Source organism: Homo sapiens, chromosome X (assembly GCF_000001405.40).
Source record: "Homo sapiens chromosome X, GRCh38.p14 Primary Assembly".
Classification (NCBI taxonomy): Eukaryota; Metazoa; Chordata; class Mammalia; order Primates; family Hominidae; genus Homo; species Homo sapiens.
Window position 1 is genome coordinate 18,710,783 of NC_000023.11, and position 22,553 is coordinate 18,733,335.

At 41.7% G+C, this 22,553-nt stretch overlaps 1 protein-coding gene across 19 annotated transcripts in view; it reads left to right on the forward strand.

Annotated features, from left to right (window-relative positions):
* Window positions 1-22,553, forward strand: part of PPEF1 (protein phosphatase with EF-hand domain 1) — a 152,851-nt gene that overhangs the window by 35,716 nt on the left and 94,582 nt on the right. For 16 of the 19 annotated variants that reach the window (XM_047442194.1, NM_001378382.1, NM_001377986.2 and 13 more), the window contains one exon: window positions 19,399-19,526. The exons of the other annotated variants lie outside the window; for them this stretch is intronic. In XM_047442194.1, the coding sequence (XP_047298150.1) occupies window positions 19,399-19,526 (128 nt within the window). The remainder of the gene's footprint in view (window positions 1-19,398; window positions 19,527-22,553) is intronic. 19 annotated transcript variants of the gene reach the window in all.

Consider the following 22,553-nt stretch of genomic DNA (forward strand, 5'->3'; position numbering starts at 1 on the left):
AACTAAAAATAGAGCTACCAAACTACCATTTCATCCAGCAATCCCACCACGGAGTCTACCCAAAGGAAGTCATTATATCAAATAGATATCTACACTCTTATGTTTACCGCAGCACTATTTACAATAGCAAAGATATGGAATCACCGTAAGTGTTTTTCAATGGATGATTGGGTAAAGAAAATGTGTGGTGTATGTATATGTAAGTGTGTGTGTGTGTATATATGTGTGTGTGTGTATGTGTGTGTATATATACGTATATATGTATGTATGTGTGTGCATATATATATGTATATATATGTGTGTGTGTGTGTATATATATATATATGCATGCCATGGAATACTACTCAGCCATAAAAAAGAATGAAATCATGTCTTTTGCAGCAACATGGATGGAACAAGAAGCCATTATCCTAAGTGAAATTACTCAAAAAACAGAAAGTCAAATACCCCATGTTCTCACTTAAAAGTGGGAGCTAAATAATGTATACATATGGGCATCCAGAATACAATAATAGACACTGGAGACTCAGAAAGCTGGGAGGGTGGGAGGGGGGTGAGGTATGAGAAATTACCTAATGAGTACAATGTATGCTACTTGGGTAATGGTTACGCTAAAAGCCCAGACTTCATTATACATGTAACAAAATTACACTTATACCCCCTAAATATATATGTTTTTAAAGGCCAAAAAAAGTTTTGTACTTTTAGCTCTTACTTTTAGGCATTTGAACCATTTTGAGTTGCTGATTTTCACGTATGGTGTGAGGTAGGAGTACAAATTCATTTTTTGCATGTGGATATCCAGTTGTCTCAGCACTGTTTGTTGAAAAGATTGTTCTTTCCCCATTGAATCCTCTTAGCACCATTGTCAAAAATCAATTGACCATAAATGTTTATTTCTGGGCTCTCAATTCTATTCCAGTGATCTGTATGTCTTTCTTATGCCAGTACCAGTGTCTGGATTACTATAGCTTTTTTTTTTTTTTTTTGAGACGGAGTCTTACTCTTGTAGCCCAGGCTGGAGTGCAATGGCACAATCTCAGCTCACTGCAACCTCCGCCTCCCAGGTTCAAGTGACTCTCCTGCCTCAGCCTCCGGAGTAGCTGGGATTACAGGCACAAACCACCACATCTGGCTAATTTTTGTATTTTTGGTAGAGACGGGGTTTCACCATGTTGGCCAGGCTGGTCTGAACTCCTGACCTTGTGATCCGCCCGCCTTGGCCTCCCAAAGTGCTGGGATTACAGGCATAAGCCACCACGCCAGGCCTACTATAGCTTTTTTTAATAAAGTTTTGAAATTGGGAAGTATGAATTCTTCAACTTTGTTTCTCTTTTTCAAGATTATTTTGGCTATTCTGGGTCCCTTACATTTCCATATGAATTTTAGAATCAATGTGTCAGTGTCTCAAAAGAAGCCAAGTGGAATGTTGAGAGGGGTTGTGTTGAATCTGTAGATCAATTTGGGGAGTATTGCTATATTAACAATTAAATAATCTGATCCATGAACATGGGATGTCTTTCCATCTATTTAGATCTTTAATTTCTTTCACCAGTGTCTTGTAGTGTTCAGAGTATAAGTTTTACACTTCTTTCCTTAAATTTAACCTAGGTTTTTTATTCTTTTTGATGATATTATACATGGATTTTTGTTAATTTCATTTTTGGATTGTTTATTGCAAATGTTTAAAAATTGATTTTTGTATATTGGTCTTATATCCCAAAACTTTACTGAACTCATTAGCTCTAATAGGTTTTTAGTGGATATTTTAGGAATTTTTATTTACAAACCAGGTCATCTGCAAATATAGTTTTACTTGTTTCTTTCCAATGCCTTTTGTTTCATTTTCTTGCCTCCACTACAATGTCAAATAGAAATGCAAGAGTAGCCATCCTTGTCTTGTTCCTGATCTTAAGGGAGAAACATTCAGTGTTTCACCAGTAAGTCTTATATCAGCTGTGTCTTTTTCATAGATGCTCTTTCTCAGGTTGAGAAAACACACTCCTATTCCTAGTTTATTGATTTTTTTATTATTACAAAGTGGTGTTTAATTTTGTCAAATGCTTTCTCTGCATGTATTGAGATGATCTTGTGGTTTTTGTCCTTTATTTTATGATATGGCATATAATGTTAATTAAATGGCACATTATGTTAATTGATGTTAAGCCAACTTCGCATTCCTAGGATAAATCCCCTTGATCATGGTGTATAATGCTTTTTATATGCTGCTGAATTCAGTTTGCTGGTATTTTGTAGAGGAATCTTGCAACTATATTCATAAGAGATACTGATCTATAGTTTTCTTGTGATATCTTTGTCTGATTTAACTGTCAGGGTAATATTGGCCTCATAGAATGAGTTGGAAAGTGTTCCCTTCTCCTCCATTTTTTGGAAGAGTTCATGAAGAATTGGTATTAATTCTTTAAATATTTGGTAGAATTCATCAGTGAAGCTATCTGGGCATGAGGTTTTCTTTGTGCGTAGTTTTTTTGATTACTTATTCTGTCTCTTGTTATATGACTATTTAGATTTTCTATTCCTTCTTGAGTCATTTGTGGTAGTTCTAGGAATTTGCCCATTTCATCTACATTATCTAATTTGTTGACATATACTTGTTCAGAGTATTCCCTTAAAATTCTTTTTTTTTTTTTTTTTTCTTTACTGCTCCATTGCTCCTTATGGAGCAGGGCAAACCCATATGGAGTGCGTCCAGAAGAGCCATTTAAAATTCTTTTTCTTCTTTTATCTCTTGTTGGATATGCCAATCAAGGTTTATTATGAGTTCATAATAATAAATCTGCTGAAAGCTGATGCAGTGATGTTTACTTATATTTATTCATAGACAAACATTGTGTGCATAAAATTTTCTCTCATTCAGATATTTGGAAAAAATATAGAAAAGCAGTTGAAAATAATGAATACTCCCTCATCATTCCACTACCCAGAGATAATGACAACATTCTGATAATTTCCTTCAATGTATTTTTTGTATATTATAGATTTCTGATCATCCTAAATGTTAGTTTTTTGTAGCCTCACTTTCAGCACTAAAATGTTATGTAAACATTTCTCAAGTTGTTATAAATGCTTTGCAAACATCATTTTAGTCATTGCTAAGTATTTTATTTGGTGAATAGGCCATAATATGCTTAATTATTCTTCAAATATTGGACCTTTTAATACTAATATAAATAACACTTTGAAGAATTTCTTTGTGCAAAGCCTTTTCCTTATTTTGGATTATTTCTATATTCAGGTGATTAGATATGAAATTATCGTGTCAAGGGCTATAAATATTTTGAAAGCTCTTGATAGAAAATGATAGATATTATTTCCTGATTACTAACCATATTCCAAAGAGTGTTCAACATAATCTACATATGTTTTATCTAATCCTTGTAATAAACCTGAATAAAGGGTTATTATTCCTGTTTGTATAGTGGAAGCAGCTCATGCTCAGTGTGGTACTTGGTAAGTTTGTTTTTCGTTTTTTTGTTTTTTTTTTTTGAGATGGAATCTCACTCTGTCGCCTGGGCTGGAGCGCAGTGGCGTGATCTCGGCTCACTGCACCCTTCACCTCCCGGGTTCAAGTGATTCTCCTGCCTCAGCCTCCTGAGTAGCTGGGATTACAGGCGCCCACCACTATGCCCAGCTAATTTTTTGTATTTTTAGTAGAGGCGGGGCTTCACCATGTTGGCCAGGCTGGTCTTGAACTCCTGACCTTATGGTTCGCCCGCCTCGGCCTCCCAAAGTGCTGGGATTATAGGCGTGAGCCACCGTGCCCAGCCTACTTGGTAAGTTTATGCAGCTTACAGCTGGCAGAGTTGGGATTTGAATTCAAGGAGTTTTGATGACAAAGTATTTTTTGCTGTCACCCATTACACCATTTTATGCCACCTCTGAATGTTGCTGCTTCAGAAGCTAGCTTTAATTAAATTTACTTATATACAGTACCTTGTATTTGCATAGTGCTTTTCAAGTTGGCCAGGCCCTGTAACATACGTTTGATCCTCACAGCCTTTTGAAGGGTTGTTCTCAGTTTGCAGAAAAGGAAATGAGGCTTTGAAAGGCAAAGTGATTGCCTCAAGGGAACACAGCAAGTCACAGAGCCAAGGCTCGTGCTTGATTCCTGTTTCCACTGGTCTGACTAGTGTTAAGGGTTTTTTGTCCTGCTAGGTCGTTCCACCTGACCACAGTACTCTGCCTCTGGAGTATCACGGCAGTTTGAGAAAGCGTAACCTACATATAAAATCGAGGCTATTCCCTTTCTTGTGCTCTACCCAGCTTCCATGTAGAGAAGTAGCATCGGGCCAGGCGCGGTGACTCACGCCTGTAATCCCAACACTTTGAGAGGCGGGTGAATCACTTGAGCCCAGGAGTTTGAGGTTGCAGTGAGCTATGATTATGCCACTGCACTCCAGCCAGGACCACCACTGAGTGAGACCCTGACTCTTAAAAGAAGAAAAAGACCAGGCACAGTGGCTCACACCTGTAATCCCAGCACTTTGAGAGGCTGAGGTGGGTGGATCACTTGAGGTCAGGAGTTCAAGACCAGCCTGGTCAACATGGTGAGACACTGTCTCTACTAAAAATAGAAAAATTAGCTGGGCGTGACGGCACATGCCTGTAATCCCAGTTACTTGGGAGGCTGAGGCAGGAGAATTGCCTGAACCTGGGAGGCAGACAGGTTGCAGTGAGCCAAGATCATGCCACTGCACTCCAGCCTGGGCAACAGAGTGAGACTCCATCTCAAAAAAAAAAGTAACATCAATTTTATATTGTCATTGTTATTTTATTTCTTTTGTGATATGTAGCAGGTAAGAGAGGACTAATAATAGCTATCATTTATTGAGTGCCTGCTACTCTCATTATTTCTTACCAAAACTCTTAAAGCTTTGATTAGTCTCCCTCGTTTTATAAATGAGGAAAGTGAGACTTAACTGCCCCAAGTTACACACTCATGGGTGGCAGAGCCTGAATTGGAACCAGATCTGGCAGATTCCAAAGTTCATGGCCCTTCTGATATGCTACCCTGACTTGGAGAATTGGAATTTATCCACATAACAGAAATTAAACATTGCAATTTCATTCTCCTGAATTTCACTTGACACTTAAAATTTTATGTTAATGGTATTTCAATTAATAATCTATTGCCTTTTTGTTCCCATGGAGCACTTTGGAAACACTGATATATTTTATTTCTTCCCTTGAGACCACTTAGAAATGTATTTATTCAATTTCTGTAAGTGCTAAGAGGCCGACAAAGACAATCCGTGCTTTTTTGGCTTTGTGGTTTGATGCGTAAGCTGTGACAAATAGAAGTTTCTCTAAAGGAAATTGTTCCTTTCAAAAGTACTCATTCTTTATTTTATATGAAAAAAACTTAAAAATACTGAATAGCAAACTAAATATTTCTTTAATTCTTGGTAAAACATCTAGTTAATTTAGCTGTTTAAAAATCAAACAATCGCCAGGCGCGGTGGCTCACGCCTGTAATCCCAGCACTTTGGGAGGCCGAGGCGGGTGAATCACGAGGTCAGGAGATTGAGACCATCCTGGCTAACACGGTGCAACCCCATCTTTACTAAAAATACAAAAAATTAGCAGGGCGTGGTGGCGGGCGCCTGTAGTCCCAGCTCCTCGGGAGGCTGAGGAAGGTGAATGGCGTGAACCCAGGAGGCGGAGCTTGCAGTGAGCCAAGATCACACCACTGCACTACAGCCTGGGCGAGAGAGCGAGACACCATCTCAAAAAAAAAAAAAAAAAAAAAAATCGAACAATCAAGCCATTCACAGCTGCTTGAGAGCCCCCCTCCCGGCTCTCCATCCCCATCTCCTTACTCCCAATTTGAAGTCCTTTACTGTGATGTATATTTCAGTTTGAGACCTTCATGGAAAAATAACAAATGAAAATCTTTCATCTTTGGTGTTCCCTAAAGAATTTTCTCCAAGTTTAGAGGGCCTCTTGCCATTCTCCTTGCTATTGTTTGTCAGAGGGTTCTAGGTTATCATAGCCATCAAGCAGTCTTTACTGCCACCGTAGGGTATATTGAAAATCCCTGTGAACTCGGACCGTCCTCATTTTCCTCCTCAATGAACTGCAGACAGAGAAGATGCTCTTTCAAGTCCATTGTCCCTCTAAGACTATCCGTATGCTCTGTAGCTGTGGGAGGGGTAGGTAGGGGAGGGCATTGATTTTCCTTCTGCCTCTCCTGCTCATTCCGCTAGCTATTGCTCATCAGCATCTTGACATGCTCGGTGACTTTCCTCTTTTTTTCCTTTTTCCTTTTTTTTTTTTTTGGTTTGTATATATATATATATTTTTTTCTCAAGCCATTTTGTTTTGCTTTTGTTTTCCTCCCCAAATATTTTTGAAAATTGCAAACCTACAGAGAAGATGAAAGAATAGTACATAAACACCCGTTTGAAATAATTTGAAAATAAGCTGTAGACATTATGGAATTAACCTCTACGTACTTCAGCATGCATCTACTAAAAGAGGGATATTCTCTTATATAACTACAATACTAGATCACCCTGAAGAAATTTAACATTGATAGTGTAACATTATCTAACATGTAGTCCATATTCAGAATTTCCCAGTTGTCCAAAATTGCCCTTTGTAACTGTTCTTTCCTTCCCTTTAAAATAAGTCTTCTCTGGCCCTCTCATCCCCTCCAGTTCCTCTCGTCTCTCTCCTCCCCTTCAAGCTCGCTCCTTAGGGGTGCATTTGTACCCGCTGTCTCCTACCTCCTCTTTGATCCCAGCCCAGGGAAGATGATCTGACAGGTTCTTGAATGACCTCGAAGTCCAATGGAGCATTTTCAGTGCTGATTTTGCTCACTTCCTGGCAGTCTTTGGCACTCCTGCCCACTCCCTTCTTACTACTCATTGCCCTTGGCTTCAGGGGCAACACATTCTCCTGGTTTTTCTTTTAGGTCTCTGCATGAACTATTTATGTGGACTCTACTTTCTCCTGGCTTTTAAATGTTGGGGCTCCTCTGGGTTCCCCCTTGGCTCTCTGGTTTTGTCACTCTAACACTCTCCTTGGATGCTTTTTCTAGTCCATGGCTTTGACATCAGTGTGTCAAGACTCCAAATCTTTATTTTCAGCCCACATCATATGCTCTAATCCCTGTTTTATTGGGAATCATTTTAAATAAGTACTTTTCTTTGTAAAAGGAGACCATTTTCTTCATCTGAAATCATGATTCCTCTCACTACCAATTCTTAGGTAATAGTCACCGTTTGATATGATAATGTGTTGGCCTGGAGGTTTGTATAGGATTGGTACTACAAACACATTTAATGCCTGTATGAAACAGACAAAACAAAACAAACCCATCCCAACAACCTTTTTATTCTTTACACCAATTAAATACATCTTCATCTTTTTATTTGCTGTGTGATTAATTTACCTTTGCTTTAAAAATTTCAAGTATTTTGAGACTCTGATAGGGGCTATTTAGATATCCATTTTAGAATCGTGAACCTTTAGAAGGCAGAAAGGCCAGGTGTAGTAGCCATGTCTGTAATCCCAGCACTTTGGGAGGCTGAGGCGGGAGGATCACTTGAGGCTAGGAGTTTGAAACCAGCCTGGGCAACATAGCAATACCTCGTCTCTACCAAAGGAAAAAAAAAATAGCTGGACATGGTGGCTCGCACCTGTAGTCCCAGCTACATAGGAGGCTGAGGCAGAGGATCACTTGAGCCCAGGAGGATCACTTGAGCCCAGGAGGTGGAGGCTGCAGTGAACCATGATCGTACCACTGCACTCCAGCCCGGGCAACAGAGCAAGACATTGTCTCAAAAAAGAAAAAACAAAAACACACACACAACACAACACAAAACCCAAAGAGAGCAGAACCACCTCTTTGTTTAAATGATTTTTACTGGCTTCCAGCTTTACTAGGAAATTCACAAAGAAGCCAGCTTTCCAGTTGGGTCATGTTAATTGTTAGGAAATCTTGTTACAGAGAGACCTATTGCAACTAAGTGCAAGAAAGGACAATCCCTCAGCCCCAATTGCCAGTTATTTCCCATATTCAGAACGCTTTTCTTATATGATTATGGCTTTATATTTCATTAGCTTTTAGCAGCTGCAAAAGACAAAAATTTAATGCGGATCGTATTTGACCTTGGATGAACGAACATGGCAATATAACACAGATTAGTAATTAATAACGAGGGAGACATAAAACAGAATTTGCAGTCAAGATATTATTTCCTGAGTGAAGATTAAAGGTTATTATTGAATTATTGAATAGAACACATTTCCTATGAGAGACTATTTTAATAATTTAAAATGATAGGAATTCTTTTATATAGCAAAATTTCTTTTACATACTTAAGAATACAATAGTTTTTAAAAATTAATGTATTCATAATAATTCTTTTGGAAAATTGGCAAAACATAATATGGTAGGAAGGTTAACAGTTACTTGTAAACTATTCTCTTGGTCTGAGTGTTTTATTGAGTTGGCCTATTATTTTGGTATGGTATAAATGAAGCATCACATTTTCCTGAACTAGTGATATAGCCAAGGATTACAACTCATCTTTTTTTTTTTTTTTTTCTTTTTTGACACAGGGTCTCACTCTGTCACCCAGGCTGGAGTGCAGTGGCGCCATCAAGGCTCACTGCAGCCTCAACCTCCTGGGCTCAAGTGATCCTCCCACCTCAACCTCCCAAGTAGCTGGGACTACAGGTGTGTGCCACCATGCCCGGTTAATTGTTATAGTTTTTGTAGAGATGGGGTTTCATCACATTGCCCAGGCTGGTCGTGAACTCCTAGGCTCAAGAGATCTGCCCGCCTCGGCCTCCCAAAGTACTAGGATTACAGTCATGAGCCACTGCACCCAGTCCAAGGATGACAACTCTTAAGGAACCTTTCATGAGATGGCTTTATGTCATCTTCATGTTGTTCCATTGCCCTGTTGAATCAAATAGGGCTTTAAATGGGCCATTTAAAAATCCTAATCCTAATAAATGTAGAAGAAATGAGTTCAAAAATCACTGTTTTGCAACCACCATAGAAATAATTGATTTAAGCAAAAATCATCAATGGATATTTTGGAGAACAGAATGTATACACAGTCTCAAAGCGTGTTCCTGCAAACTGTTTATTAATTGTAAAGAGGCAAACACTTCTACAGTAGAGAAGTTCACATGGACACCACCTTACCCAAGTGATCCAAGTTCGCTCAGTGATAATGAGACAGATGAGCACCACATGCCTTCTGATGTCCTAATGCACTGAGAAAGACATACCACTTATCCTGCCAAAATACACAACCTGAATCTCATCACGAGGAAAAGAGCAGACAGATCCAGATTGAGGGATGTTTTACAATCAACTGGCCTGTACTGTTTGAAAATTTCAGTGTCATTGAAGAGAAAGGCAGAGGAGTTGTTCCAGAATAAAGGAGACTGAAGAAATGACGATGGTATATGGAGAGAGAGAGAGAGAGAGACTAGTTATTAACAATTATACTATCTTTACTTTTTCATACATTTGAAAATATTTCAGCCGGGCGCAGTGGCTCATGCCTGTGATCCCAGCACTTTGGGAAGCTGAGGCGGGCAGATCACCTGAGGGCAGGAGTTCAAGACCAGCCTGGCCAACGTGATGAAACCCCGTCTCTACTAAAAATACAAAAATTAGCTGGGCATGGTGGCGTGTGCCTGTAGTCTCAGCTACTCGGGAAGCTGAAACAGGAGAATTGCTTGAACCTGGGAGGCGGAGGTTGCAGTGAGCCAAGATCGCGCCACTGCACTCCATCCTGGGTGACAGAGTGAGACTCCGTCTCAAAAAAAAAACAAAAATTTCTTTCAAAAGAAAAAACCCTAATCCTGTACATCCTGAGATAAGTTTACCAAGTTTGTAGTGGTGGCAACCTAGGCTTATGTCCTTTGGTAGTACCATTTTTTAGCCCTTTCTTGTTTTTGCCATCTACCAACTTCATTCATTGAAGACTCTCCACCCACTCTGAGCCTCATACTGGGTATCTTCACTGTACATGTGAATAAGCCCCAAATGCTTTGGTGTCTGAGTTCCTTGATCTCCTGAGCCCCAGAAACCCCCTCATCTCCTCAACTTCAGCTGCTCACTCCCATTTACTGGCCCCCATGGTCACCTGGAAAAGCCCCACCTCTGGAATCTTCATGATTATCATCCTATTCTCTGATTGCTTGGTCTTCTTTGAAACCTCTGAGCCTTAGATACTTCACATGTGTCTCTATCTCCCAGCCTCCAGTTTTATATAGATTTTGGGAATACAGGTGCATTTTTATTACATGGATATACTGCGTGGTGGTGAAGTCTGAGCCAGCCCTCTCTTGTCTTCCCTTTCTTCCCCATCCATCTTCCCTCCATCTTTTGTTGGCTGTCACTTGAACCAGTTAACAGATCATACACCTTAGTCATATTTTAGGCAGTTAAAAAAACTAATGTGTGAAATGTTTAGTGTTCCCAAACCAATTGCTAGCAAACTTTGGCTACAATTCCTTGATGGAAAAGCCAGAGATATTAGTAACTTGTATTTTTCTACAGGGATGATTCCGATTGATTGATTTATTTTCAAATAGCCTTTAGAATTTGTCTCCTTTGTCCAGAAGTTTCTGGTTTGAGTGTTCAGTTTTGCACATCATATCGTGCCCTTGGATGGTTATTTTCAGCTTTTCTATGTACAGTGATAGGTGGGCTGCAGCAATGGCACTAAAAACAAGTAGATGGATGAGTTAGAGTATTTGGTAACTGGAAAGAATCTTAGAGATCACACAGTCCAAAGTTCTCATTGTTTACATGAGAAACTGAGGACCTCGGAGTTTCGTTGATTTGCCTGAGGTTACTTAGCTGGCAACTGGGTAAGTCAGGGCCCAAATGGAAGTATCTCAATGACAAAGTCAGAACTTATTTTTATTACCCCATGTGGATGGGGTTGGTGGGTACGAGAGTAAGTACATAGAATGTTGTAGAAATGACCTGTTATTCTCGCTCTTGTCTCACTGGAAGGCCAGAGGTTCCTGAGAATGACACAATTATGATCTCTTTTGTCCCTTAGGGAAAGTGATAGTTGTGTTTCAAATGCCTGACATTGTTTGGAGACTGGACTTCACACTTTACTCTCTTCTTTCAGAAAAGTGTCTCCCAGGGACAAGGCCTCTGTGTTGTGGCCTTGCTCTGCAGGGCTGCCAGAGTTTGTGGCTGAGCGAGCCTCATAAGGTGTCTGCCTTGCTTGCTGCCCAACAAGCAGGCTTTGTGTCTGTCTCATGTTCACTGGGCATGTGCTTTGAGCTGTTTTTCCAGTGAAGTCAGAAGTCTCACTGGGACAGCCGCACATTCTGGCAGATGGCAGATATAGAAAATCTGTAAACAAAAATAACAGTAATGAAGACTGTGGTCCTAGGCCAGAGTTCAGCCATATCCTCTTCTCATCATGCTTTGAACAGCTGAGGTTATAGATGCTTCTCCTCTTCGCTTAAAGCCTTTTGCTATTAGAGGATTCATTTTCTTTCCAGTTCATTCGAATTCATTTTAATCAGCTGTGTCGCACTTGTGCCTGGGTCTCTTCTTGCCTGGAGGCCAGGCCCCTTAAAGGTACATTAAATATTCGCTAATCCTGCTGCTTCCTCAGGATTCCTCTGCCAGAAGAATTTCAAAAGCAGAGAGCCTTTAAATACCTTATCATTCTGAATATGAAATGTCTTGTTTGAAGAACTATCTGTCAAATAAACTCCTATTTAAAAACCAAAACCAAACCAAACATAAAGACTCTACCAGCCAGCACAAAGAGAAATGTAAGACACAAAGTCTTAACTAAACAGTCATTTCATTTGTTCAACAAATATTTATTCCTGCTATGTTCCAGAGACTATTCCAGGCTCAGGAAATACAGCAGCTAACTCAACAGATCAAAATCCCAGCTCTTATGGAGATTACATTCTAGTGGAAAGACACAGACAATGACAAAGAAGTAAATATCACATGGTGATAAGTGCTATGGAGAAAAAATAAGGAAGGAGATAGGCGATGAGGGGAGAGGAGACCATGTAAGAAGGGGTGGTCAGGAAAGGCCTCCCGCAAAGGTGATGTCTGAGCAAAAGCTGCAGGCTCTAACTGCATGCACCTCAGTTGGCCGGGCTCTTCTTGCTCTAGGCTGTTGTGTTCGGAGATGGTAGCCTGTTTGTCCACAGTAATTTGTGAATTTTTTTTTTTTTTGTGACGGAGTCTCGCTCTGTCGCCCAGGCTAGAGTGCAGTGGTGTGATCTCGGCTCACGGCAACCTCCGTCTCCCAGGTTCAAGCAATTGTCCTGCCTCAGCCTCCCAAGTAGCTGGGATTACAGGTGCCCACCACCATGCCCGGCTAATTTTTCTATTTTTAGTAGAGACGAGGTTTTGCCTTGTTGGCCAGGCTGCTCTCAAACTCCTGATCTCAGGTAATCCACCTGCTTCGGCCTCCCAAAGTGCTGGGGTTACAGGCGTGAGCCACCATGTGCAGTCATAATTTGTGAAATTTCTAATGAAATATTATGTATAATTAGGAAGTCTTTGGGACTTAACTGGAATTTGTTAGCCTGGAGAGAGACAATTTTTAAAAAAGTATCTCCCATTTATCGAGTGCTTCCTATATGACAGGCAATATGCTAAGCATTTTATATGAATCAATTAATATATTACTAATACCTATGTCAACAGATTACTAATACAGTATTATGTATTATTACAACACCCCTAGAAGGTGTTCATTCATTCATTCAATCATTCATTCAACAAATATATAATACATTTCCAGGCCTTGCCCCAGGTGCTGCGGATGCAGCAATGAAAAAAATGAAGTTCCTAGCTAATAGGGGAAAATGGACAATAAACCCATACACATATAACTGTAGACAATGTCAGATGCTCAAGAGTGCTACAGAGAACAGTAGAACAGGTAAAGAGATAGGGAATGTGAGCGGGAGAAGGTGTGGGAGGAGATGCTATTCTATATACCATCTGATTTTTTTTTTTTTTGAGACAGAGTCTTGCTCTGTTGCCCAGGCTGGAGTGCAGTGGCATGATCTTGGCTCACTGCAACCTCTGCCTCCCGGGTTCAAGTGATTCTCATGCCTTGTGCCTCAGCCTCCCAAGTAGCTGGGATTACAGGCATGCACCACCACGCCTGGCTAATTTTTTGTATTTTTAGTAGAGACAGGGTTTCGCCATGTTGCCCAGGCTGGTCTCAAACTCCTGAGCTCAGGCAATCCACTTGCCTTGGCCTCCCAAAGTGCTAGGATTAAAGACTTGAGCCATTGCGCCTGGCCCCGTCTCATTTTTTATGGCTGATTCCAAATGCCATGTATATAGCAAAATGAGGATGAGCCCAGGTTCTGAAATTACAGATAACTGGATTTGACTCTGCATTGTCCCTCTGACAAGTGACATGACCCCAGACATGTTGTTTCTGAGCCCCAGTTTCCTTATCTGTAAAATAGGGACAGTCACACTTGAGAGGATTGTTAGGGGGAGGATGAAATCAAATCACGTTGAAGTAGATGATCCACATAAAGCACGAGGCACAATGCCTGGCACAAAGCAATCACTCTGAATTCATTATTTGTCTTGCTCACTAACCCCGTACATGACTATTTAATTTCTTGCAAGATACCATGATAGTGATTGCCACCAGAGAAAAGAATCTATTAAAACAAAACAAAAAACCAGCTTGGCAATAGAGAAACCACCTACTGGCCACAGAAAGTTGGCCAGGTAACTTATTGAATCTATGCTGTTGCTTCTGTCTAGAAACAAAAATAGAAGACCCTTGCTACACATGCTCCTCAATAGCATGCATTTATTTATTCATTCGTTCGTTCATTTATTCTGCATGGAATCAATGTGACCGGGAAGAGAAGCCCTGTTATCAGATGAAGCAGCAGGACCAGAAGTAGATCTAAGCTGTCCAATAAGTTTAGAACTGGATGACGCAGATCTTCAACTCTCTGGGCAGGGTGGGGGGTTATGGGGGCCAGCAACCCCTCGGGTAGGGTCTATCATGCCTGCATTCTACCCTTTGCTATTTTGGAGGTTTCTTCTCCAGGGGAGGGTCCTCAGCTGGCTAGTGCTGTCCTGTGGTGGATGGGGCTTAGGAATTAGGTGAGGTTTTGGAGGTCTGATATTGGTATGCCCAACCTTGCTGGGCTCCTTCCCTCTCCTGGAGAGGTTTCCTTGGGAAATGTATGCCCAAGGGACAACAGCAGGATGTGGATCAAAGTCCACTTTATTAGCTGCTGCACAAGTACCCCAAATCTCAACGTAGAGCTCTAATGACGGCGTGCGTTGGAGCCTGCAGGAAGTTGGAGGCTTGAGGTCTTAGCAGGACCTATTTTTCCCACCCCTCTGAGATGAGCTCATCGGGCAGGGTCTAGTCAGGAGGCAGAAACCACAGAGTGATTTGAACAGAGAGAATTGAATGTAAAGAACTATAGCAACTGCAGGGAAGTTACCACCCTAGAGTTGAGAGAACAAAGGGAAAAGGGTGGAATTATTCCGGTTGAGAAACTTGCAAGGAGGGTCCCACAGAACTGAAGCCCAGACCTCTGAGAAGTGGTGCACTCAGCTGGTGCTGGTATCTCCGGGGCTGCCATGAGACTGGCTTTGCAAGTGCTGGATGAGCTGCAAACTGGATCCGACGACTGTTACCTGGGGTGAAGAGCAGTTGCTAGGTTACACTGTCAGGAACAGGAAGCAGACAGGAAGGAGTGTGTCCCTAGTCCCTCCCTCCAGCCTTGCAGTCTGCCTTTCCCACCCCTATTGGCAGAGCCTCACAGGGGGCAACTGACAAAGCTGAAATGGGGTCTGCAAAGTCCCAGCCTCAGCACCACTGTGCTGACTAGGGAAGGGTGGGGTTAGAGTTGAGACCTGATAGCTTAATAAGTGGCATGTGTGCTCGGGTACAGGCGTATGAGCATAGGCAGAGATGGCTGCTTCCCAAGCTGGGGTGGGGTGGGGCAGTTCCGTTTCCTGACTTTGGAGTAGAAGAGGAAGTAGAAGACAGAGGGGACCATAGGTGTTTATAAACTTCCTATGCCACAGTTTACACCCCTCCCAGTGGAACCCAGTGAACGTATTGTGTGCTATATACAAAACAGCAGCTCCTCCCTTGGAGAGTGGGGTGGGGATGGAAGCTAGGCAGAGATGGGAGGGGGCCTAGCTTGCCTCTTTCTCCGCATCAGGGAGGAGAAGTGGCAGTAGATGTCAGGTGTCCAGCTAGTGCCAGCCACTTAGTAGGCATTCAAGAAATGGTGAATGGCCAGGCGCAGTGGCTCACACCTGTAATCCCAGCATTTTGGGAGGCTGAGGCGGGTGGATCATGAGGTCAGGAGTTCAAGACCAGCCTGGCCAATATGGTGAAACCTTGTCTCTACAGAAAATACAAAAATTAGCTGGGCGTGGTGGTGGGCGCCTGTAGTCCCAGCTACTGGGGAGGCTGAGGCAGAGAATTGCTTGAATCCAGGAGGCGGAGGTTGCAGTGAGCCGAGATCGTGGCTCTGCACTCCAGCCTGGGCTACAGACGAGACTCTGACTCAAATAAATAAATAAATAAATAAATAAATAAATAAATAAATAAATGGCGGCCATTATTATTCAAAGGAAGGAAAGGTACACATAGGTTAGGGAATGAAGTAACTGACTGGAGTGGAAAGAGCCAGAGGACCTGAGTTCATACTAAATAAGTGACTTGGAGCAAGAGACTCGCCTTTCTGAACTCAAAATTTCCTTATGTGTAACATGGAGATGATGATGCTTGTGGGGACCAAATGTCTTGTAATAGACCCTTAACATATGATAGTTATTTTGTTCTATTATTACAGAAATAGTAATAAGCTCAGTTATTTCTTTTTTTTTTTTAATCGAAATGGAGTCTTGCTCTGTCTCCCAGGCTGGAGTGCAGTGGCGGTGATCTTGGCTCACTGCAACCTCCGTCTCCTAGGTTCAAGTGATCCTCCCACCTCAGCCTCCCAAGTAGCTGGGATTACAAGCGTGTACCACCGTGCCCAGCTAATTTTTGTATTTTTAGTAAAGGTGGGGTTTCACCATGTTAGCCAGTCTGGTCTCAAACTCCTGACCTCAAGTGTTCTGCCCACCTCGGCCTCCCAAAGTGTTGGGATTACAGGCGTGAGCCATCGCACTTGGCCAAGCTTGTTTATTTGTTATTGATGTTGCTAATACCAAATAGAAGAGACTTCAGTGATCATTTATTCTACAACATCATTGTGCAGATGAAGAAGCAGAGGCACAGAAAAGATCAATAGCTCTATGGAGGTTAAGAGCTTGGGCTATGGAGTCAGTCAGACCAGGGTTCGAATCCTCACTGTCTATTTCCACTTACCAGCTAAGTGAGCTTTAGTGAGTTCCTCAGTCTCTGTCAGCTTCGCAGTGTTGTGAGGACTGCAGGACTAATCAATGCATGGTCCTTTGTAAGTGCCTAGGAAGTGGCACTGGAAAGGTACCATTGTGCTTGTGAGTATGAGAACCCCTGAGGCCAGAGGGTGATTCATCATGATAGCGACTGTCCCACAGAACAGGCCTTTCAGGTGACCCTAGAGCCTCCATCATGGTATTGTGAGAACACTTCAGATTTCAGCCATGCCACTGCCAATTATTTGCTTTGCAAGGTTGAAGATGTGTGTAGGGAAAATCTTTTTCCCCTAACCATTTTTTTTCTCCACTCTCACACCACAGCAATCATCAACACAGAAGACTTCTGTGACCAAATGTGTGGGGACTTTTCTGCACACACCAAGCAGCAGATACCAGCTGGGTGTCCTCTAATTCAGATTCTGACATTATCTACCCAGAGATAGTGTCAGATCCCACAGGTTGAGGGCTCAGTCCCCAAGACTGCCTACCCACCCCACCCCAACACCAGTTGCAAGTTAAGACCTCCAGAACTTCTGACTGACCAGCTTCAAGTTGGGGGTTCCCATGACCCCCTCTTTGGGTTCCATTATTTTACTAGAGCAGCTCACAAAACTCAGGGAAACACTTCCTTACATTTACTGGTTTGTTATAAAGGGTATTACAAAGGAAACAGATAAAGAGATGCATAGGGCGAGGCAAGGGGGAAGGGGCAGGCCACCCTCCCAGAACCTCCACTGTTTCGCTATCCGGAAGCTCACTGAACCCGGTTCTCTTGGGTTTTTATGAAGGCTTCAAGACAACAGCATTTCTTCCCCTAGGGCATAGAGCCTTAAGCCCATAATGAGAAAGTCAGGGGAAGATTAGAGCCTTGGGGCAGGTGAAAGGAGGACAGGAGGTCAGAGGCTGCCCCTGAGGCCTAACATACCCGACATCACAACAAAAGACTGTATCAGGGCCATGGATGAAAACCTCTCTCTCTCTCTGTCTCTCTCTCTCTCTCGCTCTCTCTCTCTCTCTATATATATATCTTGTATTAGTTTGTTTTCACACTGCTGATAAAGACATAACCGAGACTGGGTAATTTATAAAGAAAAAGAAGTTTAATGGACTTATGGTTCCACATGGCTGGGGAGGCCTCACAATCATGGTGGAAGGGAAAAGGTACGTCTTACATGGTGGCAGACAAGAAAGAATGAGCGCCAAGTGAAAGGGGAAACCCCTTATAAAACTATCAGATCTCATGAGACTTATTCACTACCACCAGAACAGTATGGGGGAAACCGCCCCCATGATCAGTTACCTCCCACCAGGTCCCTCCCACAACACGTGGGAATTTTGGGGGCTACAATTCAAGATGAGATTTGGGTGGGGACACAGCCAAATCATTTGTATATTATAACACCACAACATGTCACTCTATTTCTTCTTCCTGTGGTTTTTCCCTATAAAGCTCATGATACGTGATGTTGGGTCTATTTCCTGGGGTTTTCTGAAACCTGAATAATGGAAAGAGTCCCTGGAACCCAAGAGCCTTGGGGAAGCTAATAAATTAACCTTGCGAGACGACCAGGTCCTGGGATATTCTGTGTACTGCAGCAGTACTAAACCAGAGGATGCTGAGACTGGGGGCTGGACCCCTGCTTTCAGAACTCACATCGTTCCTGTTATAGTCAACTCTTATTTTTTATGCACCAACTGGGAAAAACGATAGCATGAATAAAAGGAGCCAGCTGGTGTTGATTGCTCTTCACTCTAAAACTCGAGGAGGCATAAGAGACTGTATTTTAAATCTCATTACCTCTTACCTGATTTCTTTCTTCAATATGATGAAACTACAAGGTGGCTCAAAGGCTACCTTCCCCAGAAGAGAGACAGTCTGCCTAGATAGTCCACAAACAAGACAATACTTCCAGTTGCCATTTACTTAGCATGTGCTTTTTACCAGGCATTGGGCTAAACTCTTCCCCTTGTAACATCTCATTTCATCCTCATAGAAACTCTGTGAGGGAGGGGGTGTGTTTCTTTATCCACCTGCATTTTATCAATCGAATCTCAGGTGCAGAAGGTGGTGTGAATCATACGTTTCCATCAGCTCATTGAACATTATCATCATTGGTCTGTGCAAGACCCCTTCTTATGTTAATTAGTTTATTCCCTTCTCTTCATGTACCCCACGCTCATTCACTCCCCTATAAATAACCGGTCCATTATGTGTTGTGTGCATCTTTCCCTTTGTATATGTTCTTATGAAATGTGGTTTTGTATCTATATAGTTCTATTGATTAAAGTAGTATTTCATTCTGTCTCTGACTTTTTAATAACCATTCCAATGGAAGTACTATGTTTTTAAGACCTACTGGTTAGGTTGCTATGGGTTTATTTAATCTATTGCTTCCAGTTGTGTTGTGCTACTCCGTGGTGTGCACCCACCAAAGATACAGATTCTCTTTCCTAGTGATAGGCAGCCAGGCCTATTTGTATCAAACTTCCTATTGCCACAAAGAAGCAATTGCATCCCCATATGTCTCCTTGATGGACTGTGTGAGAATTGCCTTTGGGGTACGTAGTGAAGAATGGAATTGCTACTTCATAGGGTATACATAGATTCATAGATTTACTATGCTTAAGCCATGCCAAAGGTAGGTGCTGTTATTATTCCTATTTTACAGATGAGGAAACTGAGGTTTTGAGAGTTTTAATAACTTACCCAAAGTAACATAGACGGTAATTAGCAGAGCTAGGATTCAAGTTCAGGCAGTCTTACTCCAAAACTTCTGTTCCTAATGGCTGTGCCATCATTATTCTCTGAGTGTTTGAGACATGAGGACATTTTATAAAAAACATAAAAGTCAATCTCATTGTTTGGTGTTTTAATATTCTTAGAACCTAGGAATCCAGGTGGACTGCTTTTTTTTTCCACTGAAGCACCTACTTCTCCTAACAGGTGCATAGTAACTGTTTTTCTTTGACTTTCATATTCTGTGGGTCTGCAGCACTGAGAGCTGCGTTGATCATCCAGAACTGGTACCGAGGTTACAAAGCTCGACTGAAGGCCAGACAACACTATGCCCTCACCATCTTCCAGTCCATCGAATATGCTGATGAACAAGGCCAAATGCAGGTCTGTTTTGCAAGCTTTTCTCTTCTTTTGATAAAATGATTCTCTTTACCCCTTGTTATTGAAAGAATGAAAGTTTGGGTCCATTTTAAGCTGAGGAAGCTTGGTGAAAGGCTTTAATAGAGCATGTCATGACATTGTCTTGGAACTAGTTATTGAGAGAGAGTGTGCTTTGGGAAAAGGATGGTGTTTTTCCGTTTTGAAGTTCACATTTTTAAGAGGGCTGCCCAACATCTGGTTAACTAATAAAAATAGTCTTATTCTATTTTGGGGCAGATGCCTTAATAGGAAATAAAGTTGTCATTTTATAAAAGAAAAAAATACTTCAAGGGGTTAAAAAATGGCAGAATTTCCTAGCAACAAACCTCTGCAAGCTCTAGAAGAAAATATACATGGGTGAGGAAGGCCTTTTTTTTTTTTTTCTTCGAGACGGGATTTCACTCTTGTCACCCAGGCTGGAGTGCAATGGCACGGTCTCAGCTCGCTGCAATCTCCGCCTCCTGGGTTCAAGCGATTCTCCTGCCTCAGCCTCCCGAGTAGCTAGGATTATAGGCACCCACCACCACACCCAGCTAATTTTGAAATTTTTAGTAGAGACAGGGTTTCACCATGTTGGCCAGGCTGGTCTCGAACTCCTGACCTCAGGTAATCCATCTGCCTTGGCCTCCCAAAGTTCTGGAATTACAGGCGTGAGCCACCGCACCTGGCCAAGGAAGGCCTTTTTAAAGAATACATAAATCTAGTTTTAATGCTTATTAATTTTAAAAAAGTACTTTTAACAATAAACAGATCTTAGAAAGATCTCCAATATAGTTGCTAATGAAAAAATCAACTTTTAAAACAATATGTAGAGTTTATCTCATTTATGTGAAAGAACATGAAACATACAGCAAAAGTCTGGAAAAAGATACACAGGAAATTGTTTACAGTAGTTAGTTCTGAGGACAGGAATGGTATTGGTGGGTGTGGGTTGGGATGTTAAGAGGGACTTCTCATTTTTATTTGAAATTATTTGTAGTTTTTAGCAATCATATATCTGTGTATCACATTATAATATTTAAAGATAATTAAGAACATTCCAAAAAGAACTAAGTTGCTAGATTTATTTTTGGCAGCTAGAAAAATGATATACTGTGATTCAGTCAGATGCTCCCTTTGTCTAGATTAGGAACCTCAGCATAGGCTGTCTTTCTAAGCACTGTAGAATATAGTGATAAATATACAGGTAGAGTGAATCCCAAATTGGTATGCTTTAGACACATTCCAGCACCAGTACATTATTTTCTATTGATTCTTTATTGAGATGTAATTCACATGCCATACAATTCACCCATTTAAAGTGTGCAATTCAATGGTTTTTAGTATATGTACAGGGTTGTGCAAACATCCCCACAGTCAATTTTAGGACATTTTCATTTCCCGCTTCCTAAACTCCGTACCCATTAGCAGTCATTTCCCCATTTCCTTCCCCCAGTCCCTGGCAACGACTAAGCTATTTTCTATCTCTATGGATTTACCTATTCTGGCCATTTCATATAAATGGAATCATATAATATGTGGTCTTTGATGTCTGGCTTCTTTTTTATTTATTTATTTTTTTGAGACAGAGTCTCGCTCTGTCGCTGGGCTGGAGTGCAGTGGCACGATTTCAGATCACTGCAACCTCCGCCTCCCAGGTTCAACCGATTCTCCTGCCTCAGCCTCCTGAATAGCTGGGACTACAGGCATGTGCCACCACGCCCAGCTAATTTTTGCATTTTCGGTCTCCCAGAGTGCTGGGATTACAGGCGTGAGCCACTGTGCCCGGCCCAGCTTCTTTTACTTAGCATAATGCTTTCAAGGTTCACCCATGTTGTAGCACATATCAGGACTTCATTCCTTTTTAGTTAATATTACTCATTCCGAAGAATATTCCATTGTATGGATGGACCACATTTTGGTCATCTATTCCTCAGGTGATGGATCATTTGGGTTGTTCCACCTTTTGGCTATTATGAATAATGCTGCTGTGAACATTTGTATGCAAGTTTTTGTGTGAACATATGTTTTCAGTTCTCTTGGGTATAGACCTGTGAGTGGAATGTCATGTAGTAACTTTGTGCTTAACTTTTTGAGGAGCTGCTAAACTGTGTTCCAAAGCAGCTCCATCGTTTTACCTTCCCACCAGCAGTGGATGAGGGCTCCAATTTCTTCACATTTTTGCCAATACTTGTTATTATCTCTTTTTGATTATAGCTATCGTAGTGGGTGTGAAGTGATGTCTGATTGTGGTTTCTATTGACTGTTAATGGACAAACCCATCATCAACAGCATTAAAATCATACATTTTGATAACTGTATGGAAAGTCTTCCTTCTCTCAATTCCCAACTCCCAGATCTACTCCCAGATTGATAAAGTGTTTACTTTTCATGAGAGGCAGGGCTTGAAAAAGAAATTATTTGTGCTGTACAAATGCAGGTCTTTGCAGATACCTGGTGGCCATAGAGCCAGTACCCTGATTGTGGCTGGAAAGCTGGTGAAGTTCCACCTTTCCCTTCCTTTCTTTCCAAAATATATTTGATATTTAAGAATATTCCTTAACTCTTAATTTCACCACCAAAAAGAAAAGAGATCATGACCGGGTGCAGTGGCTCACACCTGTAATCCTAGCACTTTGGGAGGCCGAGGCAGGTGGATCACCTGAGGTCAGGAGTTTGAGACCTGCCTGGCCAACATGTTGAAACCCTGTCTCTACTAAAAATACAAAAACATTAGCTGGACATGGTGGCGAGTGCCTGTAATCCCAGCTACTCGGGACACTGAGGCAGGAGAATCGCTTGATCCGGGGAGGCGGAGGTTACAGTGAGCCAAAATTGTGCCATTGCATTCCAGTCTGGGTGACAAGAGTGAAACTCCATCTTAAAAAAAAGAAAAGAAGAGATCATAATGAACAAAATTTGGTAGCTGTCTTACGTTGGATTTCCTAGAAGCAGAGGCTGAGACAGGGATTCTGGTACAAGTGACTTATTGAGGGTGTGTTTTCAGGGAAA